At 37.4% G+C, this 18,953-nt stretch overlaps 1 protein-coding gene across 16 annotated transcripts in view, besides 4 other annotated features; it reads left to right on the forward strand.

Moving 5' to 3' along the window:
- Positions 1–18,953, forward strand: part of GAS2 (growth arrest specific 2) — a 187,054-nt gene that overhangs the window by 152,770 nt on the left and 15,331 nt on the right. The gene's annotated exons all lie outside the window — the stretch shown is intronic.
- Positions 2,451–2,500: an enhancer, noted in NCBI's record as "active region_4537". NCBI's record gives its function as "activates an Ori minimal core promoter by ATAC-STARR-seq in GM12878 lymphoblastoid cells {active_cell/tissue: GM12878}" and the evidence as "EXISTENCE:reporter gene assay evidence [ECO:0000049][PMID:35858748]".
- Positions 2,531–2,580: an enhancer, noted in NCBI's record as "active region_4538". NCBI's record gives its function as "activates an Ori minimal core promoter by ATAC-STARR-seq in GM12878 lymphoblastoid cells {active_cell/tissue: GM12878}" and the evidence as "EXISTENCE:reporter gene assay evidence [ECO:0000049][PMID:35858748]".
- Positions 8,832–9,126: a silencer, noted in NCBI's record as "tiled region #5411; HepG2 Repressive non-DNase unmatched - State 13:Ctcf". NCBI's record gives its function as "represses a minimal TATA promoter and a strong SV40 promoter by Sharpr-MPRA in HepG2 cells {active_cell/tissue: HepG2}" and the evidence as "EXISTENCE:reporter gene assay evidence [ECO:0000049][PMID:27701403]".
- Positions 13,324–14,523: an enhancer, noted in NCBI's record as "CDK7 strongly-dependent group 2 enhancer chr11:22813641-22814840 (GRCh37/hg19 assembly coordinates)". NCBI's record gives its function as "activates an origin of replication core promoter dependent on BRD2, BRD4, P300/CBP, MED14 and CDK7 cofactors, with strong dependence on CDK7, by STARR-seq in HCT116 cells {active_cell/tissue: HCT116}" and the evidence as "EXISTENCE:reporter gene assay evidence [ECO:0000049][PMID:35650434]".

Raw genomic sequence — 18,953 nt, forward strand, 5'->3', positions numbered from 1 at the left:
TAGGCTTTTCCAAGTGCCATGAAGAATGTTGAAACTGTGTATGTGTGCATTTGTTCTGTGAAATGCATTAATATTTCTTTATGTAGGAAACAGAATTCTGAGAAGGCAGCTTCTGTTGAAGGGGGATATATTTATTTATTTTTGTAAATGAGAAGGAATGGAAACAGAGGGGAACAAGAAGTGTTCTGTTGAAAGGGATGACTTGCATATTTTAGTTTGGTCTGTTCATTCTTACATAAACTAGGGCAAAACAATGATCCCATTAAGTTTTTTGTTTTTTTTTTTTTCTCTTCAGTGTTTTTCTTTTTTGGGTTTAAAATAAAGGAAAAAAAATAGAATCAGGGAATACTTTGATTCTGTTGTGTGGGTTGAAATTCTATCTCTCCACCCACAAAAAAATTCTGAAAAATGGGTCTTGGAATTTTTTTCTTCATGAGTCCTAGTCATCGCCCTCATTTTGTGCCCATCTCCCTAGTTTTGGAGATGATGGAGAGACAATAGAGAATAGAGTGAAAATGTGGGGATGGTGCCCACCTCCACACCTATGTCTGAGTTCTTGTTTGTTCTGTAGCCATATTGGTCTTCCCTTCTTTCAACACAGTGTGTTGTTTCTTGTTCAAGGGCCTTTTGAAATACAATGCCTCAGCTGGGCGTGGTGGCTCACGCCTGTAATCCCAGCACTTTGGGAGGCCAAGGCAGGCACATCACTTGAGGTCAGGAGATCCAGACCAGTCTGGCCAACATGGTGAAACCCCATCTCTACTAAAAATATAAAAATTAGTCAGGTGTGGTGGCATGCACCTGTAATCCCAGCTACTTGGGAGGCTGAGACAGGAAAATTGCTTGAACCTGGGAGGTGGAGGTTGCTGTAAGCCAAGATCGTGCCACTGCAGTCCAGCCTGGGCAACAAAGAGTGAAACTCCGTGTCAAAAAACAAAAAACAAAAAAAAAAACCAAACAAACAAAAAGAAAGCATTACAGTAACTCTTTCTGGAATGTACCTCCTTTCTCTATCCATTTTCTAACATCTCATTTTAATTTTTTTTAGTGGTTACTCCCAATGTCCTGTCCTACAACCAACCAACCTTCCTCCCCAAATTAGGCCACTGTTAGATTAGGTCTCCCTTTTAAGGGATACTGATCCCAAGCACCCTGTAATTTTCTTTCATGACATTCATGATGTCATAATCTTTGCTGTGTTTTCTTCCATTCTTTACGCTTTTGACCTTAAGAGTTGACTCGGAGTTGATTGTTGCTCTCTTCCCAGTGTGGTGTACTCTCTAGTACATTGCGTAGTATATACGAGTTGCTTAATATTTATTTATCAAATGAATTGAGCTAAAACAAACAGGTACTGTTTAGACATAATACAGGATTTTGGGAAGTTGGGGAACTCTGAAAAATAGAAAAGTAATTTCACTAGCTAGGGTTGAGATTAGCTATGAGGGCTGGACGTGGCTCATGCCTGTAATCCAAGCACTTTGGAAGGCTGAGGCAGGTGGATCACGAGGTCAGGAGATCGAGACCATCCTGGCCAACATGGAGAAACCCCGTCTCTACTAAAAATACAAAAATCAGCCAGACGTGGCGGCATGCACTTGTAGTCCCAGCTACTCAGAAGCCAGAGGCAGGAGAATTGCTTGAACCTGGGAGGCAGAGGCTGCAGTGAGCCGAAATCGTGCCACTGCACTCCAGCCTGGGCAACAGAGCAGAACCACCTTGGACCATATGTGTCTGAGACCTACCACTGTCTCTCTTTCTGGGCAACAGAGCAAGACTCTGTCTCAAAAAAAAAAAAAAAAAAAGATTGTAAGATTTTTCTATTAGTAGCAGAAACCAATCAAGCAGTAGTTACTTAAAGAAGGTAAAAGATTGCTTCTTCATCATAAAATTCCAGAGTGGTTTGATGACTCTGCTCCTTGAAGTCCCCACAGACTCAGTTACTCCAGCTCAATACTTTGCCATCACTGGTGGTAGGTCTCAGACACATATGGTCCAAGGTGGTTCTGTGTCTCAGGCAAAAAAATGGAGAAAAAGATGGCTTTTATAAGGAATAGAATGTTTTTCTGATGAAATGTATTGATTTGGAAACAGCTTAATCCTAGATTCAGGATTAAATTCAATCAGCCTTCTATGTCTGTAAATTTCAAAAAGTATGATAAAGTAAATGTGGTTCATAAATTTTAAAAAGATAATCACAGCATCTTGACCATTTACAAAGCAAAGCATTCTGAATTAGGGCATTTGACCTCATAACATCCCCCCAGACTAGATAGATTAAGAGGTGAGAACCTGAGAAAAAAAGCAGATCAGAGTAGAGGCAGACAATTTGCTTAATTACTGCAGCAAAACCGGAAGTTGCAGAGTGGCAGAGTCTGCTGTCCTTTGGCAAACAAGGGACAGCCCACACACACTACAGACATCCTGTGGTCCACACTCTATGGTCACTTAGCAACCAAGAGGAGATTTCTTTGTATTCTGAGCTATTCACTGAGGTGGGGATGGGGGGTCTCCTAGAAGGCCCTTCAGAACTAGGCCACGTGGAGAGTTAGATTAAATGAAACTCAAGGGTATTATGGCTTTTCTCACAGAATATCTATTTCCTGACATGTTCCCGCCTCTGCTACTGAAGCAGGTCATGTATGAGTGCAGCTGCCACTCAGCCTGATTCAGACTTTTCATTCACAGGTTTAATTAAAATTTCTAGCAAGCACCATCTATCATTTCTCTTTTGTAATTTTTCTCTCTGAGAGAAACAAGTTCAGTGCTCATGATCTCTTGCATGGTTATGGTGCCTTTCTTTCTATAGGAAGAGATTAGTAACCTCTTTAACAACTTATAGATTTTCACTGGGAACCTTGATTGAAAGAAAATCATAATTGTTAGTCTGTGTTTGGAGCTAAAGATAATGTGGGTAAACTCCCTGAGGTTTATTATGGTACTCGGTGTAACACATTATAAGGTCCAAAAAATATTATATTTTTTGGAATTGTTTTTTATGATACTGTAATGTAACAAAGCAGTTCCCCTCTAGGACTGTCTAGATCCCTGGGTCTTGTGCTTATAAAAATTGGGATTCATAGGCTAATTTCAGTGTTTTAGAAAGACAATGGAACTTGAACCTTTACCAATGGCTATGTTGCATGGACTCACCAGATACCATGCTTTCGGCCAAATTAATATAAAAATTGTTTCTTTATACTAATCAGTTGATGGTCTGCATTTCATGTATATGTTTTTTATTAGTTAAAATGGGGACCAAGTTATTTACTAATGAATAACATTTGCTGATAAAGTCTTTCAGCACTGTGTGTGTGAAAAATAATGCAAATATTGGAAGGAATTGTAAGATGGAACCCTGGTACTGACTGTTTTGTCACTTTGAGTAAGTTATGCAACTATTGTGGGAATGAATTCCCTCATCTATATAAAGGGGATTAATAGTATTAATTAGACAGATTTGTTGTGAGAGCTAGAGAGGACAGCCTCTTAATGATGGAGAGTTATCATCAGCAACAGAAGCAGTAGTAGCATCATTATCATTATTTTTCTTTCGAAACCAGAAGTTTAAAAGAAAAATAAAGTTAAGGGGTTCCTTAGTTGTGAACCAATTGGAAAGTACTGTGTTTTTTCTTTCTTTTTCAACTTTTATTTTAGAATCAGAGAGTATATGTGTAGGTTTGTTACAAAGCTATATTGCCCAGTGCTGAGGTTGGGGTATGACTTGAACCCATCATCCAGGTAGTAAGCATAGTATCCAACAGGGAGTTTTTCAGCTCTTGCCCCCACATCCTTTTCCCCTCTAGTAGTCCCCAGTGTCTATTGTTCTCATCTTTATGTCCACATGTACCCAGAATTTAGCTCTCCCTTATAAGTGAGAAAATACAGTACGTTGTTTTCTATTCCTGTGTTAGTTAGGTTAGGGTAATGGCCTCCAGCTGCATCCATGTTGCTGCAAAAAAAAAAAAAATAATAATAATAATGTGATTTTGTTCTTTTTTTTTTTTTTTTTTGGCCGTATAGTGTCTACGTACCATGGTATATATGTACCATATTTTCTTTATCCAATCTACAACTGATGGCCACCTAGGTTGATTCCACGTCTTTGCTCTTGTGAATAGTGCTGCAATGAACATACACATGCATGTGTTCCTTTGGTAGAATGATTTATTTTCCTTTAGGTACATACCCAGTCTTGGGATTGCTGGGTCAAATAGTGGTTCAATTCTTAGTTCATTGAGAAATCTCCAAACTGGTCTTTACAGAGGCTGGACTAATTTACATACCTCACCAACAGTGTGTAAATGTCCCCTTTTCTCTGCAGGCTTGCCAACGTCCTTTTCTTTTTGACATAACAAAGCCATTCTGACTGGTACAAGATAGCATCTCATTGTGGCTTTGATTTGTATTTCTCTGATGATTAGTGATGATGAGCATTTTTTCATGTTTGTTAGCCATTGTTTGTCTTCTTTTGAGAGGTGTCTATTCATGTCTTTTGTTCACTTTTTAATGGGGCTATTTGTTTTTTGCCTGTTGAATTCTTTAAGTTCTTTATAGATTCTGGATATCACACTTTTATCAGAGGCATAACTTGTGAATGTTTTCTCCCATTCTGTAGCATGTCTGTTTACTTCCTTGATAGTTTCTCTTCTTTCGTAGAAGCTCTTTAGTTTAATTTGGTTCCACTTATCAATTTTCGCTTTTATTGCAATGCTCTTGAGGACTTAGCCATAATTTCTTTGCAAAGGCTCCTTATGACTTGCCATATGCTTTTCGTTCCTGTTACCCCACTCCCCAGGCCAAGTTTTCCAGTGACTTTTGAAGTAGTTTGTACAACTGCATAGGGCCTCACTCTGGCCCTTTAAGGATCCCACTTACTTACTTTTTTTGAGTTAGCACCCCTTTGGGAGGAGGGGAAATTCTTCCTTTGCCATTTGTGAGTTTTTACTCCAATCCCCATGTCAAGAAGGATATTTCCTAGGTTTTCTTGTAGGATTTTTACAGTTTGAGACATATTTAAGTCTTTAATCCACCTTGGGTGTTTTTTTGTATATGTGTAAGGAAGGAGTCCAGTTTCGTTCTTCTGTGTATGCTTAGCCAGCCATCCAAGCAGCGTTTATTGAATTAGCGTCTTTTCCCCATTGCTTACTTTTGGCAAGTTTGTCAAAGATCAGTTGATTGTGCGTGTGTGGCTTTATTTCTGTGTTCTCTGTTCTGTTCCATTGGTCTATAGTTCTGTTTCTGTACCAGGACCATGCTGTTTTGGTTACTGTAGCCTTGTAGTATAGTTTGAAGTTGGGTAATATGGTTCCTCTGGCATTGTTCTTTTTGCTTAGGATTGCTTTGGCTATTTGGACTCATTTTGGTTTCATATGAATTTCAGCTTTTTCTATGTGTGTGAAAAATGATTGGTAGTTTGATAGGAATAGTGTTGAATCTGTAAATGGGAAGCAGTGCTGAATGAAGTCAAGACTCAACTGATTCTGTGTTTGTATTTTCTGTTATAAACTATCTTGGGAAAGTAATGATATCATTTAAGGGTTCTGTGTCTTCAACTATGAGAAGGAAAGCTTTGGATTGATGATAGTAAGTTACTAGTAAAGTTAACTAAAGTTCAAGGTACTTTCTAGGTCAGATAGTTCATATTCCTTACCATATACCAACCTCCCCAGGTCTGCTACACATAGTATTGGTTGGCAAGGCATGAATCTTCTGTGACTCTAAATTTCATTATCTGTAGAATGGATATAGAAATAACTGCCTTCCAGGTGATTATACGTTAAGAGCCTGGCATATAATAGTCATTGCTCACAATGTAAATGGTAGCTGCTCACTCAGCCTTTCCCCACAAGCAAGGTTTCATAGGTTTTTTACCATCCTATGCACATTTATTGTATATGCTCCAAGATGACTATGTCGTTCCTCCAATATGAGCCTCAGAATCAAACCCAGTCCTACAAATATGTTCTCATAAGTAGCCTAAATCCTCTGTGTATCTTCCCTCTTCTATTCCTATGTAGAGGCATTCACTTTCATTTCTGAGACATTTCTCCTGTCTCTCTTTCTACCTGGTTTCCCCAACTCATTGTTGCTTTTAACTATAAGATCTGAGGTCATGGTTTAGATTCATTTGAAGACCACTTTGCGTCTTCTGGCATGGCTACAGAAGGTTCCAGTAAACCTGACACAGGCAATCCTGTGGTTAAATTGCAAGGACACCTTCAGTCTTAGAGGACAAAAAGAGGAAAAGGGATAGCAAAAATTCCAGTGTTCCTCCATCACACTAGACATATTCCAAATGTAGAGATTCTGAATGCCAAGAACAGCTTGCTTGGTCTGTGTGAGTCGTGGATGTTTTGTCATCTAAGCCCGATGTACTCTCCCACACTTTGCATCATTACTGAGGGATAAAAAACAAAAACAAAAATCCCCCCATAGCACTCAGAAAGTGCATCTTTATAGTCCGCATGGAAAAAGAAGGTCAGTGGCACAAAGCATTTGATGCCCTACCACCTCCTCTTTTTTCCATTCATCCTGGGTGAAGGAAGAGTGTGTCTTTTCTCCCACTCCTACCTAGCCTGTCTGATTCACTCTGTTGCATTGTCCTCATTGGAAACTGCTTTCCTGGACTCTTGACACATTCTTACTGTATCAGAGCTGTGCTTAACCAGGAAGTGCCAGATGGTACTGAATCACTGGCTGCTTAATATTCAAGAACAATATTACATACAGAACAGAATAATGTATGTGTTGATTAAAGGACTTTGCTGATGTCTTGGGAATCAGGAAATGCCCTTGTCACCTCCACAGCTGTGCCTTGACAATTTATGCAGATTACAAGTTTTGTGGGGGACTCTTTGCTAAGCATGTTTCTACCTTTTTTTTAAACTATATCTTCAGCACTTGGTTTTTTGCTCTAAGCTGCTTGCCATTCAAAGTCCTAGATATATGCTACTTTCGTTGAAAAGATTGTTTTCTAGTGTCCTCTTCCTTGTCGCTCTCTTCAGGATTATAAGTCTATAAGGGAGTATAGGACAAAAACTGTAAACATAGATAGCTGTACTTTTTTCGGGGAACTGGCATTATAATTCTGGAAGATGTCAACATATTGGCACATTCAGAAATTACCTTCATGATGCTATGGACTGTGAGTAATATGTAGTTATCTGAAACAGTTTCTGAACATGAAAGGATATAATAAATTCAAGGCATACTTCTTGGATAAATCCTTCTAAAGGACTTAGTTTTCTAAGGGGAGTTTTGGTTAAAATCCAAAGCAAACCAAGCAGAGAACTACCCTTTTATTGTTCTATCTGTCCACAAACAGATTCTGCTTCTGCGGTATCCACCTCAGAATAGCTTAAAATGTTCTTAATTATGTCCCTTAGTTCTGTTAAAACAATCACAAAGCTTACCAGGCTTTTATTTTTGAAAATAGATTTACATTTACATGAGTTGGATAAAAAAAAATTGTGAAAATGAACTTCATCCGAGCTGTCACCATCAATCTTTATTATTTTTGAAAACAATTGGCCAGATAGAAATACTGGTAAAAATTACTGAGAATGTCTTGAAGTGGGTTTTTGAAGATTAACCAATAAGATCAGCTGCATATCTCATTACCTAACAAGTCCTCCTATGTCCATTAATCTACTTATGTATGGATAGATAAGCGTTTATCCACTTATTCATGCAGAAAGAACTTATCACTGTCCACTATGCAAGGACTGGTTTTCAGTAATAGTAATATAGGATAGTATTAGTAATAAGTCATATCTCAAGACGTGTCTTGAACAATTTGCTGAATTTCTAGAAGATAATCGGCAATGTAGTACAGAAATGATTGTAATTGTATCTACCGTTTACTTCTATGAATGTTGGCCTTGTGTGGAAATAGACAAAAATAGATACCTGTCTCTGACAATGAAGTTACAAAATTGACCACAAAAGTAGATGCAAATGGGTAGGACATTGTCAGTGTTGGTGAGTGCAAACTTGTATCTCCTTCAGTGCTAAATATCACACTGTTAGGTATTTTCAGTTTTATTTTTGAGGACTTTTCAGAAAGAAGTGAGAAAGGCTTCTACTACTTCTTAAAATCTCATTCTCATAGTCACTACCCTATAGATTCTGAACAATGCATATTAGAATCACATGGATAACTTCTAGAAAACTACCTCCATAAGAAATTCTGATTTCATTTGTCTGAAGTGAGGCCTGATAATCCACATCTTAACATGCATCCCAATAATCACTTTCATTTCCCCACATGAATTCTTTTTCTTCACCACCATGAAAATACACAATTGTTCTTAAAACTGATATAATACATTTTTGAGCATTTGTCTATATTTGGTGAGAGAGAATAGATACTAATGAAACAAGATTCCTGCTCTCAAAAAGCTCCCAGACTTGGAGTTTTCTGAAATGTATGACGTAAATCCAGGCTCTGTAGCTATTTATGCTGTGTGACCCTGGACAGGTTGCTCAATCTCTCTGATCCTTGGCAATTAAACTGCAAAGGGAGAAAGCAAATATTTTTCTTCATAAGGTTACTAGAAGCATTAAATGAGATAAAGTGCTCAGTAGAAAGTAATGTTGTTCCTATTATTCAGTATTTATTATCAATTTAATGTGCATAACATACAATTATATGCGATATATGCAGTGCATGTACATATACATAGTTATGTATACATAATTGTTGTGTGTATGTGTGTATACATACACACATACACATTAAATATTTGTTACTTTCACACAGAGAAACATATGTGCTGGAGTGACAAGTAGATTTATTCCGAAAAAAAAAGAAAAAAGAAAAAGAAAAAAGATCAGCTAAATAGTTTTTAGCCCAGTAAAATACATTGGAGTCACTGGTGAGAAGCGTTGGGGGAAAAACACGTTTGCTTCTTTAGTTCTGATAGAATTTAAACAATGCAGCACTGCATTTTTATTCGGGGACAAACCCACGCATTTAATGTGCTGCTGCCACCTAGTGCTTAGATTCAATAACTACTATTTTGCTAGGAGTTTCTTTCAATGTCAGGTATTCAGGGTTGGAAAACAGCTTGGTATCTTGTTAGTTCTTTTGAAAGAGATCTTAAATATGGTTGAGATATGTTTGTGTTAGTTTATTGGTTCGCATTTCTTTTTAAAGTATGTAATTTTGAATAGCTGCTGGCTTAAGTGGAATGGTTTATTGGCTTCTTGCTTGTCATGTAGCTCATCTTTTTGAAAGGTGTCGGAGTGCCTCTGCAACATGAAATGGTGTGCGTTTCCTTAAGTTTGTATTTAAGCAAGATATGCTGCTCTGCAAGTAAAAGGAATGTAGCACTACGTCTGCTCTATTTGCACTGTTATTATGTTATAGTAAAATGTTATATTGTGAGTCTTGCATGTTAATTAAGCTCATGGTAGTAAAAGTGACACCAAAAGGAGAGGCCAAGAGACATGAGAAACAAGAAATTATCACTGAGATTTAGAATATGAAGAAAATATGTTTTTCTTCCTTTGACAGGAAAAGTTTCAGTATGATTTGACTTCTTCATATGAACAATCATATGATATAGAATAGGATTTTTCAAACTCAGGCTCTTGATATTTTGAATGAGATGATTCCTTGTTTGGGGCCTGGGGCTATCCTGTGTATTGTAGGAGATTTCACTGGGTTGCTGGCCTTTACCCATTAGATGCCAGTGTAAGCACTTGTATCCCTGCCCCTACTTGTGAGAACCAAAAAGGTCTGCAGAAATTGTCAAATGTCTCATGGGTTGAGAACCACTGATAGAAAAAGCACACTATAGTAATTACAGATCAAAAGTGATTTTTATATTTTTAATTAATCTAGGGTTTGTACTAATTGGGGACAGAGCTTATGTGATGCTTCATGAATTGCCAGCAAATTCAAGCTATTTAATTACTTATTCCCTCATTTATATATTTGAGAGAGACAACATCGTATAATAGTCAGTAGTATAAGTTTGAATCTCAATTCTGCCACTTACTAAATTTTGTGATTAAATAATTTACTATCTCTATTAATACTAAAATCTAAAATTCCATTTTCTTCAACCATAAACTGGAGATAATTATTGTATTTCCTTCACAAAATAAGTATAAAAATTAAATGAGATATTGCATTTAAAGTCCATATCACAGTGTCTACCAATTAGGTAATTACTCAGTAATTATTAATTATCATTTAATAGATATTTTAAATCCCTCTATGTGCCAGGAATTGTGGCAATCACTAGGGAAATACTGATGATTTACCTATAATTTCCCAAAGTAGATCAATGTAGTGGGAAAAGAATTCAAATATAATTATATATATAATTATCTTGATCATTACTGTAATAGAGAAGAAGTACAAGATCCTATGCCATGTCATTGTTATCAGGATTGACACTAATTTGATGGAGATACTTTTGGGAATCAATTGCTAGTCAGTAGTTAATTGGCTGAAGTAGAAAAAGTTCAATTTCCTGGGGCAGTATGCCTAGATTTCATATATATATATATATATATATACACACACACACACACACACACACACACAAACACACACACACACATAGGCATACATACACATATACACATATATATGTACATATATATGTGTGTGTGTGTATGTGTGTGTATCTCATATGAGATATATATATATATATATATATATATATATTCTTTTTTTTTTTTTTTTTTTTTTGAGGCAGAGTCTTGCTCTGTCGCCCAGGCTGAAGTGCAGTGGCGTGATCTCGGCTCACTGCAAGCTCCACCTACCGGGTTCACGCCATTCTCCTGCCTCAGCCTCCCGAGTAGCTGGGACTACAGGCGCCCGCCACCATACCCGGCTAGTTTTTTTGTATTTTTTTTAGTAGAGACGGGGTTTCACCGCGTTAACCAGAATGGTCGCGATCTCCTGACCTCATGATCCGCCCGCCTTGGCCTCCCAAAGTCCCGGGATTAGAGGCGTGAGCCACCGCGCCCGGCCATGATATGTATTTTTAATGTAGTCTTTGAAACTAGCAGAAAAGAAATATATATCTCTCTATATAGAGAGATATACGGATATATATTTTACTTCAGAATGCTGACCGAGTTATAAAACAAGTAAATGGTTCCTTATAACACATTAGCTATGAGAAAGTATGTTTATTTTTCTAACATGGTATGATACATAAACATGGCTCTCCGGGTCTGTTCTGGAAGTCATTAGAAAGAGACAACATATTTGGTAAGCACATTTTCCTTCTGTCTCCCTTTTCTCCTCTGTTAAATGGGTTATGTGTACCCCTACCTACTCTACCTACCTAACACATGTTACAGCCAATGGCATGATCTCCATCTGTGAATCAGCAGTGCATCCCGGAAAAAAGAGAGCAAAAATCTGGTGGGAAATTGGATGAGAGTGAGGTAATTGGAACACTGAGAGAAGGATTCTAACATCCACACCACCCCTGGTGCAGTCAACCCTCTTTAGCCTGGACCACTGCAATAGCGTTCAGACGGGCCTCTCCTATCCCTCTCGCATTTGTGTATAACAAACCTGCACGTTGTGCACATGTACCCTAAAACTTAAAGTATAATAAAAAAAATAGTGAACTACTCAGTGCTGTGTACAGAGCCATGCTGCTTTACATTTCTGTCCCTCTGCACCTGATTTCCCTCAGATGGAAAGCATTTTTATACTTTTTCATCCAACAATGTCCTACTTTTCTTTGATGCTCATATCATTTCCTCCAATGAGGACACTTTCACAAAACCTATTGCCCTCAAAGACTCGGCTGAAAGTATCCTCAATGTTTTCTTCTTCTCTATTTTTTTTTTTTTTTTTTTGACAGAGTCTCGCTCAGTCACCAGGTTATTTTTGGTAGAGACAGGGTTTCACCATGTTGGCCAGGCTGGTCTCGAAGTCCTGCCCTCAAGTGATCCGCCCATCTTGGCCTCCCAAAGTGCTGGGATTACAGGCGTGAGCCACCACACCCAGCTTTCAGTATGTTTTCTTAGCATCCTTTATTAGAATAAGCTTAACAAAGATATATTATTAAATATAGATAGATAATATAGATTATTAAAATTGCATTGTAATAAGAAATTTGAAATGTAGCATATGCAGAGAAGACCTGTTTTTTGCTTCAGAGTGTCAAAGATAATTGGGAAATAAAACAGCTATATAAATGGACATCAGAGGAGAAATAAAAATAACACTGAGAGCATAGATAACAAAACCACAAAGGTGAAGAAATTCTAGCAAAAATAGCTGCTATCAGAGATCAAATACTCAAAATGAAAAAGAATAGATTAGGCAAGATTAAATCCCCTTCCTGAAGACCTGTTTGGGTAATGGATAGACAGAGAAGAAAAAAATGGTAAATTTGAGATTTGAGAATGAATTTATGGTGAAGATACTGAGTGACTGGATAATGGAATTTCTTGTGAAACTGAGTTAAAGATCTAGAAAAGGTGTAGAGGGGATGGGGGTGTCTCTAAATGGAGAAATAGACAAAAATAAAATATAAAGGGAGAGGCAAGCCTTTTAGGTGCTGACATCAGACATCAGAGATTACCACCAGGTCCATGGTGTAGATGGATAGCACATCTCAGTTTGCAGGTCTCAGTGCTGAGGTCTTCAAGATCTGACAGACATGCTTTTCGCAACTACTTTTAGAAGTTAATGGGCCAAAGATGGAATATCCATTTCCATTAAAGTGTATGTGTTAATCATAATATACAGGAAAAGAAAGAGGAAAGATCTTAAAATCTGGAGGCCACTAATGTGACTTTAACATTAATTAATTTTCTTTTTCTGATCTCACTATAATAAACTGGCTAGATACTAGGGAGAATGAATCACAAAGTGGCAGAAAAGAGATATGGGTGAACTTAAAAGATATTGGAACCAAGAAAAGAGGGCTTTTAAGACAAATGAAGGAATGAACAGAATCAGAATGAGTTACACTATTGCCAGCTTTGCCTCCCTACACATATACTATAGATAAGGCGATGACTTCATGAAACCAAAGTGTTGGCAACTTAGGAATGGTTCTGTATATGAGGCCCTTCTACAAACAAGCACATCACTGGAGGCTGAGCTGAATTGAAAACAATTAGGAAATATAAGTTAGACTTATCAATGAGGAGTGAATATTGGTGTTCCTTTAACATCATTTTTTAGCTTAAAATACAAAAGGCACAGGAAGGTGTTTATCAGAAAACTCATAGTTTCTCACTGACATGAAGTGATATGGATATGCAGGTAAGATTCTGAAATACTAAAGATATTTGTGCAAGCAGGAACATATCATTGCACACAGTGGGTTACTGGAGAAAGAAAAGGAAGTGGCTGAGGGATCCACATAGCTGAAGATTTGTGCCATAGTTTGTCATAAGAAAACACATATCATTTGAGAGAGGTGGACTAAACAAATAGAAAGTAGTTCTAGTATGCCAGCTGGGCCCTAATTAGATAAACAACATCCCTCTAACAACAGTTGAAGGAAAAAAGACATGGGAATGGGATGGATATATATTTTTTATATCAGATGGGAATAATTTATACACATTTTTCTCTACTACCTGTGTGCATCTAACAGACCTGTGCACACACATATGAAAGACTTTAGGAAATCATGAGAAAAATTATAGAAATGAGAGAATAGAAATATAAAATTGTGGAAATATAAAAATAGAAGTTGAACTGGTGACAATTTTTAGTGTAAACTTTGAAAGGAATAAAGTTACTAGAATTTCTAGAGGCAAAAGTAAATTTAAGAGCAAAGAGTCAACATGGGAGCTTTGGGAGTTTATGTCTAAAAACTGGCTGAATTTCAGCAGGCAGTTTGTAGTGATAAGTTCCTAGGGCATTCGTTATGTATGGCTTTTATAAACAGCGTTTGTGTCATCCTCCCTACGGAGACCTCTGGGTGGCCCCATGGAACAATAGGCTCATTTATGAGTCAGCATGTGACCAGCTCTGAAGCAAGGGTGGATAGACATAGTCAGTGATGAATTGTTTAATTCTTCTGGACTTCATCTTTAAGAAGACTGAAAAATTTGGAAGTGAGCCCCAAGCTTCACCTACTCATATTGGAAAATGAGTGATGGGATCAGAATATTCAGTAAAGGAAGACTTTGGAATTCAGAATAGGTCAAACAATTTAAAAGACATAACAAAGATGATATGTATGGAAGACAAAAACAGGGATTACAAAGAGGCCATGGCTGAGCATGGTGGCTCAGCCTGTAATCCCAGCACTTTGAGAGGCCAAGGTGGGTGGATCACCTGAGGTCAGGAGTTCAACACCAGCCTGACCAACATGGTGAAACCCCATCTCTACTAAAAATATAAAAGTTAGTCAGGTGTGGTGCCACACACCTGTAATCCCAGCTACTAGAGAGCCTGAGGCGGGAGAATTGCTTGAACCCAGGAGGCAGAGATTGCAGTGAACTGAGATCGTGCCACTGCACTCCAGCCTGGATGACAAGAGTGAAACTCCATCTCAAAAAAAATAAATAAATTAAAAATTAAAAAAATTTTAAAAAGAACATAATTACAAAAGTGAGTTTTATGTATAGATAATGAAATTGGTTTATAATTTTCTTCTATGTTCATTAACTGTTCAGATAGTAGGAAAACTTTATGAACATTAAAGCTTTGAAAGAAGTCAACTAGTATAGTCTGGGCAAAAAATGATTGAGAAACACAGAGTTAGAGAAAGAAGAAGACTTTGTGCCCCAGAGAAAATGTTTGGAGCCTATTAGATTTATAGAGAACACAATGATGAAGCTATGGAAAGTGTGAAGAGAAATAGGAAGAACAGGGAATGATGATCTTGGGGAGAAAGTTTCTGAGAGAGAAATATGAAGGCTTATAATTATTCAGAAGTATGTTATAGAAAGGGGAAGATAAAACAAAGGAAAAGCAATATAAATAGCAAAGCTTTGAGTCCTAATTCAGTCATGGCCTTGTCTGAGGATATTATGATGGTTGTGTTTTGTGATCAGAGGAGTTCAAATAATGTGTAATATGAAAATAGTTTAAAAAGTAACATTAAAGGATAAAGTGAAATGGTACAAGAGAGGATTTTGTAACCATAAAGTACAATTAAAATGTTAGGAAATGGATTTGAAATTCAGTGGCTAGATTGTGCCTAAGGTCAGAAGACTGTTCCATTATCTGCTACTCCTGAAGTATGGTGGGGGAGGGGAATAAGATCATTATTCATCCTTACTTTTGTAACGATTTCAGATAAAATTACATCTTTATATAGTGAATTGTATGACAGCATGCCAGCTAGTCTACAAAACAAGAATAAGATCTTCACAGTAATAAAACAATTTTTTTTTTTTTAGTGAAGAAAACATTTTCTTATGTAGATATTTTGGAAATATTTCTGTCTTCTTGCTTTTTTTTAAGCAGCTGAGCTGGGCATTTTAAACCTAATTTTATTTTTATGAAGAAATACATATACATTGTTAATAAAATGGTGCTGTAAGACTTATGCCCTCAAAACAGCAAACCTGCTCCTCCTTTCTTACCCCTTTCCACTCTTATTTTCCCTCCCTAGTTCTCCCCAGAGGCAGCTGTTATCACTGTTTCTTCTTGTATTTATCTCCAAGCTTCTAAATTATTTAATTATGCTGCTTTATCTTAGTTTTAAATTTTAGATATTTTCTGTGGCATATTCATGAATTCAGTGTAGCAGGAGTAGGAAGATGACGATCTAGCCATCTTTTCTCTCCCCTTCCCCCACTCACCACACATATTACACTTCCTTTCTTTCTATTTGCTCAACATCATTAGCCATGCCATAACACTGGTCAAATCATTATTCAGCATTTATTTTATAATGATCATGTAAATATTATAGTGCACCATGATTACTTTTCCTTTTTGCAATAATTTCAATTTTTCTGGAAGTCAGTAATGCTTCATTGTGTTGTCCTAAGTATGATGAAAAGGCCCTTACCAGGTCCCCTTAGAGAAGGGTAAAACCCTCACAATAATGTCACAGGCAAACATGCCAGTGAATTTATCCGTTTGATTTCTGGCCCCCTACATTTCCCTAGCCAGGTCTGTCTCACAGTGTCACCCTGAAACTTCTCTACCTTGTTCTGTTGGATCCACTATTTACTGGATCAGAGTCTTGTGTAGATTACTCCCTCAATTTCCAGAGCTCATCCTGAGAAAATCAGTAATTCATTCATCCAACATATATTTATTCAACATCTATTATGAAACAAAAAGGGTTCTAGGAAATAAGGATGTATCAGGGAACAAAACAGGAGATCCATGACTCTCTAAAGGACTTCATATTTATGTGTGTAGTGTGTAGCCTAGCCATATACAATACAGAGTGCTCTATTCCATTTGAACTTCAGACAATGAATACTTTTCAGTAGGAATATTTTCTAAATATTGTAAAGGATATACTTATACTAAGAAAATGTTCATTGTTTATCTGGATTCCAATTTGACTGTGTGTCCTGGTATTTTTATATGCTAAATATGACAACCCTAGCTGGGAGGGATTAGACTGTACCAGAAAACCTAGGTAAATAAATAGCATGGTAGAGAGTGGTAAATGCCATGCTGCAATGGGGAAAGAGAAGCAGAACAGGGTAAGGCAGATTGGGAGTACCAGGAGGAGGGATAGCAATTTTTACAGGGTGATTAGGATAAGCCTCATTGAGAAGATGAGATATTAGCAAGGGCATGAAGGAGGTGAGGTGTTTACTCTGAGGTTATCTGGGAGGAAAGATTCTAGACAGAAAGAACACCAAGTGAAGAATATCTAGAGTGGATCTGAGTGTTTGGGAAATAGGGACACCAGTGTGGCTGTCACAGAGCATTTGAAGGATGCAGTGGTAGGAGATGAAGTTAGAGAAGTAACAGGAGTCCAGATCTTCTAGGAAACTTAGGCTATTGGGATAGCTCTGTAGTTTACACCCAGGGAAATGGGGAGCCATGCAGGGTTTTGAAGAGTTATGGCATGAGGTGACTTCTATTTTAACAAGATCTCTCTAGTTGCTCCATTGAGAAAACACTGGGTGGCAAAAGTGAAAGCTCAAAGACCAATTTGAAAACTGTTAAAATAATCTGGGTGAGATCAAAAAATTTTGGACTAAGGAGCTAGTAGTGAAGATGGTGAGAACAGATTGCATTTTAGATGTATTTTTCCTCCAATATTTTACTGTGAAAATTTTCATACACATAGAGATGGTAATACCCATGTAACTCCCAAATAGATTCTGCAATGAAATTTTCGCTGTATTTGCTTTATCATATATTTTTCCTTCTCTCCATCCTCTGGCTGAGTCATCTGCCAGTCAGACATTTCTGTTTCTGCAGAGATAAACCTTCAGTCTCCTGCTGTGATGACACAGTCACTGGCATTGGAAATCTGGGGTGGGGACATAGTAATTCTGGGTGCTAACCAATCCTTATACCAATTTTCAACCCATTCTCCTTTATTAAACTGCATTTTTCTCCTCACCTGATGGAGGTACCTGGTGATTCTAAAGCCCACATTTTCTATAGTTTCCAGGCATTGTTTGGCTTGCTTCTTTTTGACAGCTGCCATTTCAAGCTTTAGTTCCACCTCTGTCACTCTTAGTTACAACTCATTTGTTTTCCAACTTCTAAAAATGTATTGCTCTTTCTTCTCTATCATTTTATCCTCTCAACTTCCCTTATCCTTTGACTTTGTAACATTTTTCTTTCCCTTTCATTTGAGTAGGGTTTTAAAAGGAAGGAGGCCCATATTTTCAAATATTTTACCAATAGAAAGAACTGAATGTATTTAGTAATACTTATTTTTCCATTTTAATGTCAATATACTAAAGATACATTAAAACCAGTAGCAAAGTAATAGTTTTTCAGAGTATCTAGGTTACTATTTTGTTGCCTTTTAAGACTCAAGGGGACATCAGTTTGGAAACCATTGTTGTGTATCATCATCATGGAGTGTTAAACTTTGGCTCTCCCAGTGCTTACTTATTCTAGCCTGTTTGTTGGATTTTGGTATTAGTGTTTAGAAGAGATAATGGAATTCAGATTGAATCAGGCAAATGTGGCCCTGTCTGCTTAGTAGAGGGAATGGTTTTTCTTTGCTCCATGGAGCCCAGCTTCCCTTCCTAAATAGGTTATTATATCTGTGGAGTGGATAAATTCTAATTTCACTCTGGTATAGACCAGCTACAAATCCTTCCTCTGACACCAACATTTTCTATCTCATTGCTTTCACTATGCTGACTGTTCTGTAAAATATTTATTATGACTTTGTCTTCTCTGTCTGAAATGGTGCCATACACTGGTAATTAGATGGAGACTAAGCCTTCTTAATTTCATTTGGTGCAGGGCTGGGAAAATGGAGCCCTTACATAACAACGAGATGAGGACTGACCGGCAGTTGGCGTTAAGTGCTCCTACACATATTTCCAAGCAGATGCAAATGGAACTTTTCACCAGTCCATCATCATATGTCACTTGCTTGCTGCTTTTCCCATGTTTGCTTCCAGAAAGAGGCTACTTGACAGTCATTTGTCTCTACAATGAGCCTACTTTATGAAGCTGAATTCCCTCCCCCACCAGAGGGAAACAATTACAGCAGGCCAGGAACTTTTTTCTGTTCAGTTCCAATAGTCAGAATATTTCTGACCCAAGGCCCTGTCCATGTTGGGAGATTGGTTCTCAACATCTAGGGCACTATAGTAGTTCACCCTTCAAATAAAGATTTGAGGATTACATCTTTATGTATGTATGATTTATCACTGGAGACAATGTCTCACAACTGGGCATCAGAAGACTAGTGCACTGTGTGTCCTTGAGCTACCCACTTAACCACTATTTCTCTATCCAGATAATGGTAACATTAATACTTGCCTACTGAGCCACTGGGTAGTTATGATAACAAAATTAAATAGGAGGAAGTACTATCAGGATTTTAATA

The sequence above is a fragment of the Homo sapiens genome, chromosome 11 (assembly GCF_000001405.40).
Source record: "Homo sapiens chromosome 11, GRCh38.p14 Primary Assembly".
NCBI lineage: Eukaryota > Metazoa > Chordata > Mammalia > Primates > Hominidae > Homo > Homo sapiens.